Source organism: Homo sapiens, chromosome 1, assembly GCF_000001405.40.
Source record: "Homo sapiens chromosome 1, GRCh38.p14 Primary Assembly".
In the NCBI taxonomy this organism is placed as follows: Eukaryota; Metazoa; Chordata; class Mammalia; order Primates; family Hominidae; genus Homo; species Homo sapiens.
The window spans coordinates 13,579,236-13,599,291 of record NC_000001.11 but is presented as its reverse complement, the minus strand read 5'-3'; the positions used below and the strand labels follow the sequence as shown (position 1 = coordinate 13,599,291).

General features: G+C 47.5%; 1 protein-coding gene across 8 annotated transcripts in view, besides 1 other annotated feature; it reads right to left on the bottom strand.

Moving 5' to 3' along the window:
• Positions 1 to 15,535, bottom strand: part of PDPN (podoplanin) — a 34,201-nt gene extending 18,666 nt beyond the window's left edge. For 2 of the 8 annotated variants that reach the window (XM_006710295.2, XM_047434471.1), the window contains exon 1: positions 14,951 to 15,023. Coding sequence is in view for 2 of the 8 variants with exons in the window: in NM_198389.2 (NP_938203.2) it covers positions 15,192 to 15,486 (295 nt within the window). In the remaining 6 variants the exon portion in view is untranslated. Of the gene's footprint in view, positions 1 to 13,577; positions 13,833 to 14,577; positions 15,024 to 15,191 lie in introns of those variants that run through there. The other 6 variants (NM_001006624.2, NM_001006625.2, XM_024451404.2 and 3 more) reach the window with 5 other exon arrangements.
• Positions 15,019 to 15,557: an enhancer, noted in NCBI's record as "H3K27ac hESC enhancer chr1:13910230-13910768 (GRCh37/hg19 assembly coordinates)". NCBI's record gives its function as "activates a minimal SCP1, AML or CMV promoter by ChIP-STARR-seq in primed H9 embryonic stem cells {active_cell/tissue: H9 hESC(primed)}" and the evidence as "EXISTENCE:reporter gene assay evidence [ECO:0000049][PMID:30033119]".

The window sequence follows — 20,056 nt, the reverse complement described above, 5'->3', positions numbered from 1 at the left end:
GCCTGTAATCCCACCAGCACTTTGGGAGGCTGATGCAGGTGGATCACACGGTCAGGAGATCGAGACCATCCTGGCCAACATGGTGAAAACTCGTCTCTACTAAAATACAAAAAATTAGCCAGGCGTGGTGGTGCACACCTGTAGTCCCAGCTACTCAGGAGGCAGAGGCAGGGGAATCCCTTGAACCCTGGAGGCGGAGGTTGCAGTGAGCCAAGATTGCGCCACTACACTCCAGGCTAGTGACAGAGCGAGACTCCATCTCCAAAAAAAAAAAAAAAAAGGAGGGGGGGCACTTTCTTGGACTGTCCATTTAAGCGAGTACCCCTCCCCTCTTCCACGGCACATATACCTGAATGCTTACCCCCACCCTGCTACCTGCTCGCTACTTGTCTGTCCTACTGGAATATAAGCTTGATAAAGGCTGCCTCATCTCAATGTCCACAATGTCTGAAATCCCTGGCACATACCAGGCACTCGGTAAGTAGCTGTTGAGTGAATGGGTGAGTTCCAGATAGGGGAACAGCTGGTGCTAACTAACCCCAAAGCCCAGAACGAGCATGGGGCGCTGCACGGGAGGGAGGATGGTCAGTGTGGCCAGGTGGAGGGGCTGAGGAGGACAGAGATGGGGCTGAGAGGTGTGGAGCGGTGGTTCGGTAGAACTGTTTTAAGGATGGGGTTTCAGTTGCATTTGGCGTGTGAAGGGAAGCCAGGAGATGTTGAGGAGGGGATGACCTCAGTTGAGTCCCAGAGGCCACTCTAAGTCAAGTAAGTGAATAGTGTGTGTGTATCAGGGAAGGTGCCAGGATCAGGCTGAAGCAGGGAGAAGCTTAGATTCTTTCTGTTATCTAAGAAAGACAGTGGAGAGGGGTTGGTGCTTATACCAGGACCTTGGCAGTGAGGAGGGATAAGAACTGGACAGGTGATGGCTGGGGAGCATTTGAAGTCATTACCCACTGAGGATCAGAAATAAATGCGGGACAGGCATGGTGGCTCACACCTATAATCCCAGTGCTTAGGGAGGCCGAGGAGGGCAGATCACCTGAGGTGAGGGGTTAGCGACCAGTCTGGCCAACATGGCAAAATCCTTTCCCTACTAAAAACACAAAAAATTAGCCAGGCGTGGTGGCTTGTGCCTGTAATCCCAGCTACTTGGGAGGCTGAGACACGAGAATCGCTTGAACCTGGGAGGTAGAAGTTGCAGTGAGCCGAGATAGTGCCACGCACTCCAGCCTGAGTAACAGAGTGAGACGAAAGAAAAGAAAGGAAAGAGAAAGAAAAAAAAGAAAAGAAATGCTAACCCAGTAGAATCCTTTTTTTGAGACAGGGTCTCCCTCTGTCACCCAGGCTGGAGTGCAGTGGCACAATCTTGGCTCACTGCAGCCTCGATTTTCCAGGCTCAAGTGATCCTCCCACCTTAGCCTCTCGAGTAGCTGGGACTATAAGTGCGTACCACCATGCCTGGCTAATTGGGTTTATTTTTTTGTAGACCACAGGGTCTCACTATGTTGTCCAGGCTGGTCTCAAACTCCTGGGCTCAAGCGACTCTTCCACCTTGGCCTCCCAAAGTGAGAATTCATTTTACCACCTGTTACAGCTCTACTGACAAACAACATTTAGAGTAGAAACAGATCTACTGAACAAAGAAGGCTGCCCCTTTGCGATGCTGAGTCTAGATGGGGACTTCCTCTCGTTAAGTCCTCTACATAAAATTTAGCTAAAGAGCTCCTGTGCTGTTTCCATCTTGACGTGAGTGAGAAGTTTCTTCCACTCCTATTTCTGCAGACCTGCAGCTCCCTAATCTGAACGCTGGAGAAGCCGTTTCTACAGCATTTTATCTTGAACTGGTGATGCTGATTTTTAAAGTAAACAAGATACAAGCTGAGTTACCCTCGGGATTTTCAAAGGAAACCCAGGGTATTAGTCAACAGATTAAAAGGGTCTTTCACGTTGCTCAGTGTTTTGTAGCATCTTGCGCTGCCCTAGTGTCTAAATGTGCAAATAAATGTCTTTGTAGATGGATGACGAAATGGTGTTGGAATGACTTGTGGCTATTGAGAAGCAGAATATTTTTAAAATTCATATTCTGGGAAGCTCTGGTTTTCCCCTATAGAACAAACTCTAGGATAACTATTAATTAATTCTAGCACCTCCCCAATTACATTTGAGATAAAGTTATGCTTTTGAAGAGATGTTAAAATGTCTATTTGAAAACAAAAACACCGACTTCTGTTCCTTTGCCCAAACACAGGCTTTTGTATATTATTTTTCTATCACGTCTCAAAACTGAGCCCAGAAGCCTGAAAATAAACACACCCCGAACAGTAGAAAGGTGCCAACCTCCAACATTTTCCAGCACTCTGCCGGCCACCCACTGCAGTCACTGAGGTGCTCATATCTCTCTACAGTCCTTCAGCTCAGTTCAAAAATGTCCCAAACTTAGCTGTTTGCTGTTGCTTCCCTCAGTCAACCTGAAGTGGGTTCCGGCAATCAGGAGAAAGGCATTAGAATTTTCCCTCTATTAGCTGTACCTTTTGAGTTGTCCCTTGTGTCCTGTAGCCCGGCCCATCTCCTGACCTATTGTTGAAGGCTTCCTTTGGAATATCGATGTTTTGCTTACAGCCACACCACTCTGAACACGCCTGACCTCGTCTGAATATTGATGCAACCACTAACCTCTGAAGTCCCAAAGCTCCTTTACACGAAGAAAGCCACTCCCTAACCCAGAGCTGTGTGCCCTCAACTTCAAGCAGCCACTGGTCGTGATCGACATAATCACTGATGTGGCCAGTGAACTTTTTTCCCCCTTCACCCCTTCCATGGAGTCTGGTAAATTGCTTACTGGACCAAAAGTTTGGCCCTGGAAAATCTAGAGAACTGTGAATTAATCTAGGCTTTGGCCTGCCTGCCACTCTGTACCCACAGACATGTCCCCTCACTGAATTTTCCTCCAGGCGTACATAGCGCTAACTGAAGTCCACACTGCCCCATAGATTCCTAGAGTCTGGCACCATGGTAGGTATTTAGCAGATGCCTCTTGAGTGACAGCTAAGTACATTTATACATTCAGGTAGAACTTTTTTTTTTTTTTTTTTTGAGACGGAGTCTTGCTCTGTCACCCAGGCTAGAGTGCAGTGGTGCAATCTTGGCTCATTGCAACCTCCGCCTCCTGGGTTCAAGCGATTCTCCCATCTCAGCCTCTCAAGTAGCTGGGATTACAGGCACCTGCCACCATGTCCAGCTAATTTTTTGTATTTTTAGTAGAGACGGGATTTCATCATGTTGACCAGGCTGCTCTCAAACTCCTGACCTCAGGTGATCTGCCCGCCTCAGCCTCCCAAAGTCCTGGGATTACAGTTGTGAGCCACTGCACCCGGCCGGAACACTTCTTTAAAATTATCTTCTGTATTTATGATGTCCCTGCCGCTGTCCACCAGGCTTCACCCCCGAGTTGTTAAACGCCTTCCCCTGTAATGAAAGAGACGGCATAGCTGAAGATAGCACGGCACCTGCAAAGGGGAACTTGGCTGCCCTGCCGTTCAATTTCGTGTGAGCAGCGCCATGCCCATTCACTGTGGCAGGTCCTGTCAACCCCTGTGGGATGAGACCAATGACGAGATGAGACCTGACTGTGTGCTAACGGCACTGGGGGCGTGTGACTCTTCTGTAAAATGTAAGAGAAACATGTCAAAGCTGAGGAGATCAGACACGTGTCACTAGTTCCTCTGGAGAAATCAGGAGAAATCCAGCACGTGAAGATGTGAAACCGCTTTCCCTGACTACAAACTGGGAGGCAGTCTGCACAGTACCCCCTGCCCCAGAGTTTGCTTTGGGGTCTTGGGGGTGGGGGGGAGGTGTCCCCTCTGGGTCACCTCCCAAAGTTGAGGGCAGCACTTTGAGGGTTTCTGCAGCTGAACTGGGCAATGAAGAAGAGGGGCCAATGAGAGCGACTCCATTTTCCTTTCAATAGCAAGGAGTCACATTAAGTCACTAGACAAATTGAATATTGATGTTTTGCTCACAGCCACACCATCAGGAAGGGACAGGATATAAGATCCTTATGACATAATACAGGTATGACATTATCTCTCAATCAGATCTATCCTCTCTCCCCTTTTAAGAGGGAAAGAACTGAAATCTCATGTGTATCTTTCACAGATCTTTGCATTTAACCTCTAAGACAATCCACGAGGTGTTTTAATAACAAGTGCTATTTGCTGGATTTATGGGAGAATGTGCAAACTGTGGCGTCAGGTGCATGCTCTCGTTTTTTTTTTCTTTCTTTCTTTTTTTTTTTTTTGAGAAGGAGTCTCGCTCTGTCGCCCAGGCTGGAGTGCAGTGGCGCAATCTCAGCTCACTGCAAGCTCTGCCTCCCAGGTTCACGCCATTCTCCCGCCTCAGCCTCCCGAGTAGCTGGGACTACAGGTGCCCGCCACCACACCCGGCTAATTTTTTTTTTTTTTTGTATTTTTAGTAGAGACGGGATTTCACCGTGTTAGCCAGGGTGGTCTCGATCTCCTGACCTGGTGATCCGCCCACCTCGGCCTCCCAAAGTGCTGGGATTAGAGGCGTAAGCCACCGTACCCAGCAGCTCTCTTGTTCTTTACAGAAGTCTTGCAAACTAGTATCATCCTCATTTTTTAGCTGACAATGGTGAGGCTAAGAGGTTAAGTCAACTGCCCATGAAATGAGCAAGTGCCAGTGCATGGATTAGACATTGCCATCTATTCAGACTCTCAAACCCATGCTCCCAACCACTGTGTCTTCACAGGCACTGAATACTCTTGACCAGCTCCCTGTTATATTCCTCTCTACTTCTAAAGAAAGGTCTGGAGTAGACTGAGCTGCCCTAGATGGTGGCTTCTGTAGATTATTGAGGAGGGGCTGCCAAGGGCACCTGCAGGTTCACCTTTTAGCTCAATCAGTGCCCTTCCAAACCCCACCTCTCCTTCATTGCCCAGGTAAAATCCCCTTCCCTTCAGCGCTCTTCCAAGTTGCCAGGAGAAAGTAATCTCCTCTAAACTAGTATAGAATTTGATAACATTTTGGCATTTACTACCTCCTCCCCACCAGCATCTACAAGTTCCTTGAGGGTAAGGCCCCATTCTGCTGTAAGTTTATGGCCCAGCCACTAGCACAGTCTCTGCTGCCTGAATGAATGGATGAATGACATTCACAGTTTTCAGAGTTCATGGGAGTGAATCAACACACTCATCAAGCACAAACATGGCTCAGAACTGCTCAGTGTTCACATTAGAGGCTGCTGATTACAACCTCAACCAAGATTACTCAACATGGGGAGACGTTTTTCTCTTGACCAAAGCAGAACATTCTCAGTCCAAGAGGAAATGAGTTCACAGTTTTGTAGACTGAAATCACAGCTCTGTAATAAACTTTTCTGGAACTCAGCTAGGGCTGGTGTCACGAACATTCCCCTTCTAGGGAGGGCCACTTAGTACCAAATGACAAAAACCTGCTTTAGAAGTGCTGTCCTGGAGCAGAGCTTCTCAATGGGGTGTGTTTGGGAAGCACTTGCCGTCTGCTCGGAAACTGAATGGAAATCTGAGCTGATTCACTCATGGCTGTCAGCTGAGCATGCCCTGATTTTGCAAGAGGGAGAAAAGAAGCCCCTTTGCATCTGACCTCACCGTCCACCCCACGCAGCTCAGACAGCCCAGCTGTGAGCCCAGGAGGATGAGGCCTGCAGGAATGTGCAGAATGTGGCCGTTTCCACTAGCGTCCCTTGGCCTCAATCTCAAGCCTGGTTTCGGACCTCGAAGTGTGCTTTGGTAGATTTTTAGAAAATAGTTGTTTTTGGCTAAGAGGATCTCTTCTGTTCTTCCCTTGCCATTTTTCTCCCTTTGTTCTAATGTAGGGGAAATTCAAGCAGCAAACTTCATCTCCAGTGCTTAGCTCTGGCACTCTTTTAGATGACTGTCTTCCCAGGTACTCATCAGATCATCAAATTGGGTGTCTTACTATTTACCTCAAACTCATCATATCTAAAGCCGGGCGTATAAATACCTTTTCCTTACCAAGTTGGTTCCTAATCTCTCATCCCTCCTACCTGATTTTTATGCTTTTATTATCTGCTTTCTGTCATTCCTATGTGTCTATCGTGTTTCCTCCCTCTTCTTCCTGCCAAATGTTTACTATGTACCTACCTCGTGCTCTTTTAAGTGCTCTCTTCTCTAAGAGACAAGTTATGTACACAAATAATTAAAATACAGACAGGAGAATCACCAAAGCAATCTTGGTAAAAACAAAGTAGACTCATACTTCCATTTCAAAACTTACTACAAAGCTGCAGTAATCAAGACGGTGCTACTGGTAGGAGGATAGACATATAGATCAATTTAATCCAGAATTAAACCTATACATTTATGGGTAATTGATTTTTGACAGAGGTGCCAAGATTCTTCAGCGAAGAAAGAATCATCTTTTTGGCCAGGCGCGGTGGCTCACGCCTGTAATCCCAGCACTTTGGGAGGCAGAGGCGGACGAATCACCTGAGGTCGGGAGTTTGAGACCAGCCTGACCAACATGGAGAAACCACGACTCTACTAAAAAATACAAAAATTAGCCGGGTGTGGTGGTGCATGCCTGTAATCCCAGCTACTCGGAGGCTGAGGCAGGAGAATCACTTGAACCCGGGAAGCGGAGGTTGCGGTGAGCCAAGATCGTGCCATTGCACTCCAGCCTGGGTAACAAGAGCAAAACTCTGTCTCAAAAAAAAAAAAAAAAAAAAAAATCATCTTTTCAACAAATGGTACCTTGACCACTGGATACCCACATGCAAAAGAATGGAGTTGGGCCTCTACTTCATAGCCCACACAAAAATGAACTCTAAATGAATCAAAGACCCAAATATCAGAGCTAAAACTGTAAGAGTAAATCGCTGTAAGCTTGGACTAGGCAACAGCTTCCTAGATGACGCCAACAGTACAAGCAACAAAACACAGATACATTTAACTTTACCAAAATTTTAAACGCTATTCAATGGTTGCTATCAAGAAATTGAAAAGACAACCCAGTCCAAAGGATGGGAGAAAAGTCTGCAATTCATATATTTAAGGGTCTAATATCTAGAATATATAAAGGAGGCTTTCAATCAACAATATAAAGTTAGCAAAGGATTTAACTCAACTTTAGTGAGCAAAGGATTTAAACAAACATATCTCCAAAGATACACAATTGGCGAAGAAGTGCATAAAAAGATGCTCAGCATCACTAATCATTAGGAAAATGCAAATTGAAACTACCAGATGTCATTTCATACCCATTAGAATGGCTACAACGTAAACACACACACAGAGAAAGAGAACAAGTGTTGGTGGGGATGTGGAGAAACCAGAACAGCATGTATTGCTGGTGGAACTGTAAATGGTGCAGCCACTTTGGAAAACAGAATGGCAGTTCCTCAAAAAGTTAAACAAACTTGGTGTGGTGGCATACGCCTGTAGTCCCAGCTATTTGGGAGGCTGAAGCAGGAGGATGGCTTCGGCCCAGGAATCTGAGGCTGTCGTGAGCTATGACTGTGCTACTGCTATTCAGCCTGGGTGACAGAGGAAGACCTCATCTCTAAAAAATTTTTTTTAAAAGAACGAAATTCTGGTGCATGCTATAACATGGATGAACCTCGTAAGCATCATGCTAAGTAAATGAAGCCAGGCACAAAAGGCCACATATTGTGTGATTCCAGTGATAAGAAATATCCAGAATAAGCAAATCCATAGAGACAGAAAGTAGATCGATGGCGGTCAGGGTCTAGGGGGAGGAGGAAATGGGAATGACTGCTGACAGTTTGGGGCTCTTGGGGAAGGGGCGTGATGAAAATGTTCTAAAATTGATAGTGGTGATGGTCGCATAACTCTGTGATTTTACTGAAGACCACTGAATTGTTTGCTTTAAATGGGTTAATTTTATGGTATGTGAATTACATATCAATTTAAACGTGTGAATATAGTCATGAGTGCTGTAAGAGGTGACTAGTAACAAGTCAAGAAATGCTGAACTGTTAAGTCTTGCTGGCTTTTATTCCTAGAAATTTGGTCTCGCTGCACATGGTGGCTCACGCCTGTAATCCCAGAACTTTGGGAGGCTGAGGTGGGCGGATCACGAGGTCAGGAGTTCGAGACCATCCTGACCAACATGATGAAACCCCGTCTCTATTGAAAATACAAAGATTAGCCAGGCGTGGTGGCACGTGCCTGTAATCCCAGCTACTCAGGAGACGGAGGCAGGAGAATCGCTTGAACCCGGGAGGCAGAGGTTGCAGTGAGCCAAGATCGCGCCATTGCACTCCAGCCTGGGCAACAGAGCGAGACTCCATCTGAAAAAAAAAGAAAAGAAATTTGGTCTCATTCTCGCTTTCTGTTGTCACCACATTTTGTCTCTTTACCTCCTGACCACCCCCACCCGCCCCTCCACCGCACCTGCCCCTAGACTGGTCCCACAAACTAGATTCAATCTCCTATGGCTCCTTCTTCATTATCTTCTGACAACCAGCATTCATGGGCCACTCCCATTCTCTATTTCTGCCTACAGAAAAAGGTCCCGCCTCTTCCACTCAGCACGGACTCATCTGTCTCCCCAGTTTCCTGCCATTGCCCAACTCAACCCTTCTAACCCCCAGCCTCCACAACTCTTGCCAGCCCTCAATGCCCACGCCTATTCCCACAAAAAGCCCGGACTGATCTAATTTCCATGCATTTGTTCAAGCCATTTCTTCTGCCTAGACCAACTGTCCCTGCCACCTGCTCCAACCAACCCCACCATTTTTCACAGCCAAGATAAAGTCGCATCTTCCCCACAAGGCTTTTTCTAGCTCCTCCCAACCCCAAGATTCTCTCTTATCTCTAAATCCCTAGCAACAGACAATAATAGCATGTGCCGCGCAGGACACGACTTTATCTGTTGCTTGTATGTTCTTTCTACATGTGTAGAAAACACGCACCTGTCTTGCCTCTCTTTGCAAGCTACAATCACAGCATATGCTTCCTCTCTAACTTAATGTGTGTGCTCTGTAAATGCTTAAGGGGACAGGGACAGCATCCTTCGATTCAGTACTCCCAGCACTGGGGATACACATCATCAGCATTATGTATGCAACCAACAAAGTTAATACAAGCTGGAAAGAAATCATGTATGTAAAAATAACAAATGGTGGCAGGGAGCGGTGGCTTACGCCTGTAATTCCAGCACTTGGGAGGGCTGAGGCGGGTGGATCACTTGAGGTCAGGAGTTCAAGAACAGCCTGGCCAACATGGTGAAACCCCATCTCTACCAAACGTAGAAAAATTAGCCAGGCGTGGTGGCACATGCCTGTAATCCCAGCTACTAGGGAGGCTGAGGCAGGAGAATGGTTGGAACCTGGGGGTCGGAGGTTGCGGTGAGCTGGGATCGCACCACTGCACTCCAGCCTGGGCGACAGAGCAAGACTCCATCTCAATCGATCAATCAATCAATCAATCAATACAAGTGGTTTGCTGCCGTAAGGTAAGAAGTACTTGAAGGAATCAACCTCTCGCTTTTCTGGGTGTCCTCAGTGGCACGGATTCAAGCTATTCCAAGCATAGCTGATTGTGTAGCTAAGTGGTTAGGGGTGTGGGCTCTAGGGTTGAGCAGCCTGGGTTCAGTCTCACTGCTGCCATTTACAAGCTCCGTGTCTGTGTGTGGGCTACTGAACCTCACTGAGTCTCTTAATTCCTCTATAAAATACAAGAAGCTCCAGCCGAGTAGTCTGTTGTGAGGACTGAAAGAAACAGGGCTTAGAAAGGGGTTCACACACGCTAAGCACTCAGTAAACGCTAGCTGTTATTATATTGTTAGCGCTATTAACACCAGCCATTCAGAATCTAGATCCTGTAGCTTTACAGATTCACATTTAATCTTATGGGGAGATTTGGCTCAGAACAAACTGTTTCCCATTAGCCAAGCTCACAAGAGGCCAGAAAACCAAATAGTTTATTTAGAACAGGAAACTGTTTTCCAACGCTTTGTATGCATATTTGCTGTCCAAGGCATGCCCTTCTCAGGGGTGAGATACCCCACAAGATGCTATTTTTTGTATTTACAACAAAAGCAAAGGGTGGAGCTGTCGGGTGGAATAAATTTCCAGACTGTGACAAAACAAAGACATCTGATTCATCACAGAACCACCTTGATTGAGATCAGAATATCCCCAGTCACCACATATGACACCTTTCCTACTAACGGTAAGCAGGGATGGGGTTTGCCTTGTTCCCCACTGCCTGACTTACACAGTAGCTATTCAATAAATAGCTGTTCAATAAATATTTATTGAATAGTAGCTATTCAATGAATTGTTGGCCGGGTATGGTGGCTCACACCTGTAATCCCAGCCCTCTGGGAGGCCAAGGCAGGCTCAGGAGTTCGAGACCAGCCTGGGCAACATGGTGAAACTCCATCTCTACTAAAAATACAAAAACAGTTGGGTGTGGTGGTGCACACCTGTGGTCCCAGATACTCAGGAGGCTGAGGTGGGAGGATCGCTTGAGCCTGGGAGGTCAATGCTACAGTGAGACGAGATAGTGCTACTGGACTCCAGCCTGGGTGACAGAGTGAGACCCTGTCTCAAAAAAATACATATATTATATATATATTTTATATATATGTAAATATATAATATATAGTTATATATTTATATTATATATTATATATGTAAATATATAATATATAGTTATATATTTATATTATATATAATAAAAATATTTGTTAAATCAGTTAATTCTTTGGGCAGGGAAGGTTTAAACATCAACAAATTCTCATTCTTCTCCTCTTCTAGGCAAACTGATTCCCTTCTCTTTGGGGCAGGACAATATTCGCTGTATCACAGCTTTTTAAATGAGTTGTGTTCTGTTCTCCCGGATGGAGACACCCTGATGAATTGTGGGAAGTGCCCTGTTCTCATCAATAATATGTTAAAAATATTCTAGCATGCCCCTTTCCTGCTTCCCATTTACACTCTGTGTATCTGGCATTTGTACATGCTGCAAACATTAACAATGGTGATTGTTACCCCAGTGGCTCAGGGTTGGTCTCCCTCTATTGCCTACGGCACTTTGTGGCCTGGCCTCTCTGGATGGGGGTCAAGAGCCCATCACATCTTTCTCCAGGGGTGTGTGTGTGTGTGTATGTGTGTTTGGGGGGGCGGGTTCATGAAATTTAGCATTGCCTCACAATGTCAGCTTTCAGCTCCTCAAAAAACTACATGAACGAGTTGGCCATACCTGCGTACTTCCCCCTGGACTTAGCTTGATTCACTTCAAAGGACAAATCCATCTCTGAGCAATTCTCAAGGCAAAGACACTCAGCCAGACAAAAAGGAGGGTGAGCCCTCCTACCTCTTTCGGCTGACACTCAGGGGAGCTTGCCATCATCTGACTGGCTGCCAACAGGCCGGTGGACAGGGGCTGGGGTTAGACATGTGGGAAGGAAACAGTCACCTTGTTTTCCTGCCTTGGATGGAATTGGCAGAATTCCAGTTATTCCCTACCGGGGCTCTAGCTCACAGCCCCAGATAAAATGCCTAATCACGGAGCTGTATCTCTTGCCCAGCAAATGAGAATCCTAAGACTCATCACAGTAACTGTCCACTTGGAAGTGTCCAGCACCCTCCATCAGTTGATTCTCTTCAATAAAACGTGCACACTGGGTACTTCCCTGAGAAGTTTTGGGGCACCAAGAGTGGCAAGGCTTCCTGGAAAAGCCCTACAGCATCTGATTCAGATTCGTCAAATAAATTTCACCAGGGTAATCCTGAGTAGTTGAGTTCTCTCTCCCTCCTCCTCCTCCTCCCCCGTCGTATTTCCACAAGTTATAACCTGGCCTGCCTCCTTTCCAAAGCCAGAAATATGACAAATATTCAGATAAGCCGATGGAATTTGAAAGTGCATGTTCATTGCTTTGCTGGTGAGGACTGCAGGGCACACTTTAGCATGTGAGGTGTGCCTCTCTCAAAAGTGCATACAGTTCAAATTCTGCATCTAGTAACACACCAAGAACTCAGGAAATGCTTAATAACTATTTGCAGAATGAATTAATAAATCCTATTTTAATGTATTATGACAATTTCATTCTTAAAAGAACATTATGGGGAGCATTTAATGTAAAGGAATTCTCGTATCTTTAGAAAATTTTGTTTCTACGTTTAAGAGGCTTAAAGTGAGGTTAACCTTTAATTTCAAGTTCAACCTCTTTACTTTGTTTTTATATATATTTTTGAGACGGAGTCTCGCTCTGTTGCCAGGCTGGAGTGCTGTGGTGTGATCTTGGTTCACTGCAACTGCCGCCTCACGAGTTCAAGCGATTCTTCCGCCTCAGCCTCCAAGTAACTAGGACTACAGGCGCGCACCACCATGCCCAACTAATTTTTGTATTTTTAGTAGAGACGGGGTTTCACCATATTGGCCAGGCTGGTCTCGAACTCCTGACTTCATGATCCGCCCGCCTCGGCCCCTCACAGGCGTGAGCCACCATGCCCAGCCTCTTTTTTTTTTTTTTTTTTTTAATGGCAGAGTAGTGTAGTAAAAAGATCTTCAGGTTTGAAGTTAGACATATTTTTCAAACCCAGTTCTGGTATATTCCGAGATAAGAGTATGTAATTTACAGGTATTATGATGATTGAAAGAAGTAGCTAGCAATATTCCTAGCACATGGCAGGCGATGGGAATGAGAGGATGGTTGTGTCCTTTGGCCTGACCCTCCACTGTCTTGCCAAGGCTTGAGGTCCTTATAATTCTACAGTGTAGAGTCACTCGCGTGCTGCTCATTTTACAGAAGCCAAAGAAAGGAAGGAGTTTAGTCCCTTTGGCCACGTCCAGACTTAGCCTTCTCATGCCCGGACACATTTTTTAAATTGTGCTTTTCTATATTCAATGCTATTTTGGATCTTATACACCAGTGCAATGCAGAGGCCTCCCTCACAAAGCCTCTAACAGACCTGATCTTTATTAAGTGCCTTCAGTGCAACAAAAACTCTTAACAACTCATGAGGATTTCAGGGCCTCCAAACTGGCAAGCGTTTCGGGGAAATCACAGGGAAATTTGTTGGCCGCATGATTAATCCTGGGTGGATTGGTCCCGGAAAAGCACATGTGGGTTAGCAGCGAGCAGCAGCTTGCAGAATCTCACAAAATAAACTCTCTAATGAAGTGGCCCCCAAAACGTGCCTTCCTGATGAAAGTTCAGCATGAGGGTGGCGCCTGACAATGGAAAAAAATGCCAGATGTGTGGACAACAGACCTCCTTTGAATCCACTAACACCCAAAGGGATGACACATGGGACCAGATTATAAAACTGAACCAGATTATAACCCTGGAGGAGGGAAACCCAGTAGGGCGTAGGATCTTATGAAAAGGATCATAAAATTCATCACCATAATTACCCCCCAGCCCAGCTCCCCAACAAAAGCCCACAATAGCTTCGCTCAATGATGTTATTCATCCATATTCAAGTCGCCTCGCTCATTATTCTCAGACAAAAACCCTGCTGGGCCTCTGCTCCTCTGGCAGCCAGGCAACTCAGCACCCACCCTCACTCAGCCAGCCCCGCATACCACTTCTTTCTTTAGTAGTGGAGTTTCCAGCACCAACGATGGTTTTTCGGTTTTAACGCCATCTTTTAGGAGTACCTTTGACATTCAGGAGCCGGCTGAAGGGAATCACAGCTAAAGCTTCCCTGGGCAAAAACAAAGGATGTTACCCAGCAGCTTTTTCTTTAGCAGGGCTGAGATGCTGAAGTGAGGGCGCTCCCTTGCTTTGCCCTGGTGAGCACAAAACGGTGTCATTTGCACATTGTCTCGCCAAAAAGGAAATGTAACTGAAAATACAGAACTGTATATATTCCAGTGGAAAGAGAAGTTCCAAAGATAGGACTGCTACGAATAACCCACGGCCCCTATAAAAAGAGTTGCTCAGTCCCTTTGAAGCAGACAGCACAGCATAGAGCAGAACTCTGTCATTTCCCTGAGATTGGGTATTTTTGTCTGTGTGGACCATTGTAGGAGGCCAGGTTAGGCGCACCCCTCCTGCAAACCGCTCCCTCTCCAAGAAGTATTCCTCAGGGCCTAGGCCTACCTTGATCCTCAATTTTTGGAAAATGTTTACTTTTCACAGCATAACTCAGCAACCTCCAGCCCCAAAGATCACGAGTTAGGTTACAATTCCTTCAACCAACATTTAGTGAGCAACTACTATGTGCCAGGCATTGTTTTGGCCGTGGGGAATCATGGCTGGATGTAGCTGCGTCCTGCAGAACATATGTTCTATTGAGGAAATATAAAAATAAAAACCCAAGAAAAGAAAACAAAATGTTGACAGATGTCAATGGAGACCACCAACACAGCAACCCAGCGGGAAGAGGTAAGGCTCCAGGAGAGGACAAAGGGTAATGGAAGCTGTGGACGCCCCCACCCCAACATGGGATACAAAATATTTAAAGCCTAAGGAGTCACCAACAGACATTCAGCCACTGATGTTGTTGCCCAAGATGAACACGTGGCTCAAACCCACTTAAACCTCAATGTTCGTAACGCGTAACAATCCTCATGCACTCACACTCCTCGGAAGCCTCCACTTGGATCCTTTCCACACACACTATCCTCTCTAAAGAGGATAAAGGAGGCCTCTTCCAGTCCAGTGACGGGGTGCTGAGTGTGTCCAACAGGCAGGGCGCCAGACTAGGTAGTCCCAAGGGGGACCAGGGCCACCGCAGGGCGGGGAACCCTCCCCTTGGCCCAAGCCCTCCTGAACGTCCCTCCTGATTCTACGAGGCCAGCTTCTCCCGAGGCGTGCGTATTCCTCCAACACACCGCTCTATGGGAAGGAAACCCCAGCCACTGCTGCCAGCAAGCGGGGCTGCCTACTGTGAACCTTCCACCCGATCTCTCTGGTGCTGCCGACTCGGAGGGAGGCCCCCTGTGCTGCCCACCTCGCAGCCTGTGGATTCCGGGGCTCCTCCCGGCACACCCGCGCAGCTGCGTCTTTGGGACCTGGCACCGACTAAGCCGCTGCCTCTCCTCCTCCGGCGCTCAGCCGCCTGACACGCACACACCCTCAGCTCCCCCGCGCTCCCCTGGACAACCTCGAATACCAGGCCCGGGCATTCCAGCAAGTCTCTGCTCGCTCGTCCCCATCAGCGACGGCAGGAAGCCACTTGCGCTGGGTCTTACCTCCTTCTGCCAGGACCCAGAGCGACGCGCTTCCCAAAACGAAGAGCAGAGCTGACACCTTCCACATCGTTCCCGTTGAGTTGTTGCTCTCCTGGGGGCCGAGCAGCAAGATTCTGAGCTGGGGGAAAATTAAAAAGCACCGCGGCCACAGGCCCAGCCTGGAGGAGCGCGACGGTGGGGGGGCCGGAGGGGTGGGAGCAGGAGCCCCGGAGAGGGAGGGTGCCCGAGCTTCCCAGACCCTAGGCAGCCGGACAGCAAACTTTGCAGTTGAGAACTTTCCGAGCGGAGTCAGCATTTATCTCTCCCGAGGAGGCGGGGGAGCGGGGTCGGCCGCAAGGTGGTCTCCGTCCGGGCGCGCTAGGCCCGCCCTCGGGCTCTGTTTGGCCGGCGCCAAAACGATGATCTCAGGCCAGGTTTAAAGTTACAGGGCCGCAGCTGCGGGGGCCGCCAGGACTGCGGGCCCTGGCAAAATGGGCTTTTATTCTGCTCAACAACAGGAGGGAAAGGGACCACATGCAACAAACGGGGTTTTAAAAATTATATATAAATTTTAAAAAACCTATATTTATTATTATTATTTTTTTAAGAGTAAGGCACAAGTCTATGTTTTTCTTGTTATGGGCAGAAGTGAGAAGTAAACTGTTTCTTGAGTGGCCAGTAGTTTTAGAACCAAGCATGGGGTTTTTCCTGTAAATATTGAATTTGATGGCTTAAAAACAAAAAAAGTTGGCCGTCATCTGGGTGGGCCAGAGGCGGCCCGCGCTGGTCAATTGCGCCCTTGTCCCGGGGACCGGAGCGGGCGGGCTCCGGGGGGCTGCCCCAGAGCTGGCTGGTGGGGGAGTTTGGCAGACCGGGTGGCTTTGGCAGTTTTGAAAAAGAGGCTGAACTCCATCCGCCTCTGCCGACCCGGGGATCCAGCGCTGCGATGCTGTGGCCCACCGACGTGCGCAGTTGGATTAGGCCGGGCCAAGCGGTGACCCGTCTGGTCGCCAAACCTGTGTCCCCTTCCAGGCCTGGTTCACCCTCTTTATTCCTGAGTTTGCTCCCATAATCCTCACTTTACTGGTTTAAGCGATCTTGCCTTGATCTCAGGTACCAGATATCAGCAACCAGAGAACTTACGTCTTTTACTTTAATTCCTTCTGAATTGCTGGAATTTAAAAAAATAAGAACAGGAGTTTGGGAAGTGGTCTCTGCTCCACTCCCAGATGCCACAAATTCCATTCAACAAAAGAACCTGAAGACTAACGCTGTCTCAAAGCTCCACATTGCGTGAAAATTGTTTTCAGATGCTTATCTTTGACCCCTCCCCATTATAAATTTACTTTCTAAGAATCACAGGAGAGATTGTTTTAAATAAATGCCCAGTTTCCTGGGTTCCACCCCAAACTCATTAATCAGACCTTTTCGGAATTCCTATTTTAAACCAGTGTCGCTGGAGAACTTGTCCCCATGAACATTTGGCAAACCTTGCCCTTCATCATAGCTTCTCAGCCAGATCTACCTGGGGCACTGGTTATGCAGGTGCAATTCTGTTGTGGGATAGGGAGAGATTCTGCATTTCTAAAGATCTCCCAGGTAACGTCTTGTCCTGGGGCTACAAACAGGAGCTGAGCACCTGAACCTAGAAGATGAGGGGTAGCGGCAACACCCCTAGAGCCAAGGAGTTGGAAATGTAAAGAGAAAACTCGTGATACAGATACTCTTTCTTGAACTGACTTCCCCATCTTGGAGATGCATTTTATGACTCTAGTGTCAATAATGTCTGTTGACAGGAGGAATAGTGCATTGTCTGTTGAGCCTGTTAGATGGAGAATAGATGCACATCTATTCTGCTTATGTGTAACTCCAAGGTCACACACAGAAAGAAAGATGGCCCGCTTTATTCAAAAAGATTGAAACACAGTGAAGCCTAGGTGGGGGAGATTGGGTTACATGCAACTAATTTAGAGGGATGCTGAGGCTAGGTCATGATTCAAGGACACCTGCCTTCTATCCCACACCCCCGGATGTGTCTAGAATCTAGAAGGTTGGTCACATGACCTTTTGATCAGGATGGAGGAGTGGGAGGTAATAAGGAATTGCATTCAGCTGGGGGTCCTGGGGTGGGGAGAGGGGCCAGGATGAAGGAGTTAGTGGATCGGCTCTGGGTGCTGTTGGTCTGAAAACCTAGAGAGAAAAGCTGGGTCTTGGGAGGGGGAACCTGAAGACCAGAGGGAAGAAAGAACTCACCCTCCTGGACCAGATAGAGCCAGCAGCTCATGAGAGAAGGAATATGGGCCTTGGGCAGCGAGACTCGGTTAGCTAAAGGAGCTGAAGTGAAACACAGGGGATCTGGAAGCATGAGACCCTGCTCAGCTGAGGGGAAGAGGGAAAGAAGGAGGGTATGTGGCTCCATTCTTGGCAAACAGCTTAAGCTCAGAAAGCCATGGCCATGAATGATGATGCGTTACTGGTGAGATAACAGCAGCTGCTACATACTGGCCTTTATCTTCCTGCCAGGAACACGCACTATTTCCTTTCAGCCCCAAAACAACGGTTGGCTTCCAAACATTGATGATACCCATTTCCTACACAAGTGAGGTTGAGAGTGGATTCACCTGGAGGGCTTGCTTGCCTGGAAGGCAAGACTGCTGGGCTCCACTGCCAAAGTGCTGATTCAATAGGTAAGGGGTGGGGCCCAAGAATTTGCATTTCCAACAAGTTCCCAGGTGATGCTGAAGCTACTGGTCCTGGGTCCCCACTTTGAGGACTGTGGGTTTAGAGGCCACCATGCAAATTGTGTGGGATCCTACAAGGTAGGAGCGGTGGGGTCATGCATTTCCATTGCAGAGCAGGAGTTGAGCCTGTTACTAGCACTGTGCCTGTGCCTTGCAGGACTGTGTGGGAAACGTCTGTAAATTGCTTTTAGGAAGCAAGAGGACCCCCAAAAGGTGTGGACCAGCAGTGGAATGAGGAGCTGAGCCAGAGCTGCCAGTTTGGTACCTTCCACCCTGGGGGATGCTGGAGATGACACATCAGGGTCTCCTCAAGCTCTGTGTTTTTCTGAGGGCTCTGCAGAGTCCAGAGAGCACCTGGCTGAGCTGCTCCAGGCAGCCTGGGCTGACCTGGCTGGGAAGATGCTTCTCAACACACAATGGGACACCAGCCCCCCAACCCGCAGTGGTTCATACCTGTAATCCTAATGCTTTGAGAGGCAGAGGCGAGAGGATCACTTGAGGTGAGGAGTTTGAGACCAGCCTGGGCAACATAGCAAGACCCTGCTTCTATAAAAAATAAAAATAACATTAGCCAGGTGTGGTGACACGTACCTGTGATCCCAGCTACTCAGGATGCTGAGTTGGGAGAATCACTTGAGCCCAGGAGGTCAAGGCAGCAGTAAGCCATGATCATGCCACTGCATTCCTGCTGGGGTAACAGAGCTAGACCCTTACTCTATAATAATAATAATAATAACTTTAAAAATCAATATGCCATGTTCCAGAGCTGAGATACCCACAACTGAATCTCTGACAGCAAAGGCAGCTCTATGGCCCAGGAATAAGTAACACACTTACGGGTTTGAGTGGGACCAAAATTCTGATTTATAACCCAGACCGCTACAACTCTGACTGGACAGAGGACTGGCCTTACAAACATTCTCTCCTGATAAGCTACTGCACACCTCAAGCCAGTTTCAGCAGCTGAGAGAGGATGCATACGAACTGTCTTTGTGTCCTATAGTTCACATTTTGACGTAAAGAACCAAATGCCACCTCATTTTAACTAAAACCCCGCTCCGAAGTGAACATGAGATGTAAGTTACAAGCATGTTTACCCACCGTGCACGCACATGACTCCCCTCGTGTAAATGGACAGCCTTTCCTTCAAACCTGCTACATAGGAACACAGGCCCTGGAAGGCAGAAAACTCAACCTGCTGTCTTTGAAGACAGCACCTTTGGTCCAGCTGGAGACAGTCTCTTTCTCATTTGTAAACTGACATCGCCACTAATATTAGCCTTTCTAATATGAGCCATCCTGGTGGTTTTCTGGACGGCACGGGGAAAGACAGTTTCACACTGCCAACCTGGGACTAAAGAGATTTTTTTCACCCCAGGAAATGCTCCATAAGAAGATATGGGATGGATAAGAATCTGCTTTTTTTGTTTGTTTTTTTGTAAATTGGGGTTGGATTATTGGGAAGGTGCTACATTTTCCCAGAAGTTTCAGTAGAAAACTTAGGAGCCAGGGCCGTGTGTGGTGTCTCATGCCTGTAATCCCAGCACTTTGGGAGGCCAAGGCAGGCAGATCACCTGAGGTCGGGAGTTTGAGACCAGCCTGACCAACATGGAGAAACCCCATCTCTACTAAAAATACAAAATTAGCCGGGCGTGGTGGCACATGCCTGTAATCCCAGCTACTAGGGAGGCTGAGGCAGGAGAATCGCTTGAACCTGGGAGGCGGGGGTTGCGGTGAGCCGAGATGGCACCATTGCACTCCAGCCTGGGCAACAAGAGCGAAACTCTGTCTCAAAAAAAAAAAAGAAAAGAAAACTTAGGAGCCAGGGCAGTGGTTCATGCCTGTAATCCCAGCATTTTGGGAGGCCAAGGCAAGAGTATTGCTTGAGGCCAGGAGTTCAAGACCAACTTGGGCAACATAGCAAGACCCTGTCTCTACAAAATAAAAAATAAAAAATTATAAAATAGAAGAAAACTTAGGAACATTGAGGCATTGGAAATTGATCCCCTTGGACCCATCCTTGCTGGCATTCTTCTGGGGAAATCTGTGTGCATCTACCATTTGAAGGCCCCTGCCCTGTACCCCTGCGGAGCTGGATCTCCTCCCAGCAATAGGGCTGTCTCATGCCACCCCACTGTAGTTAAA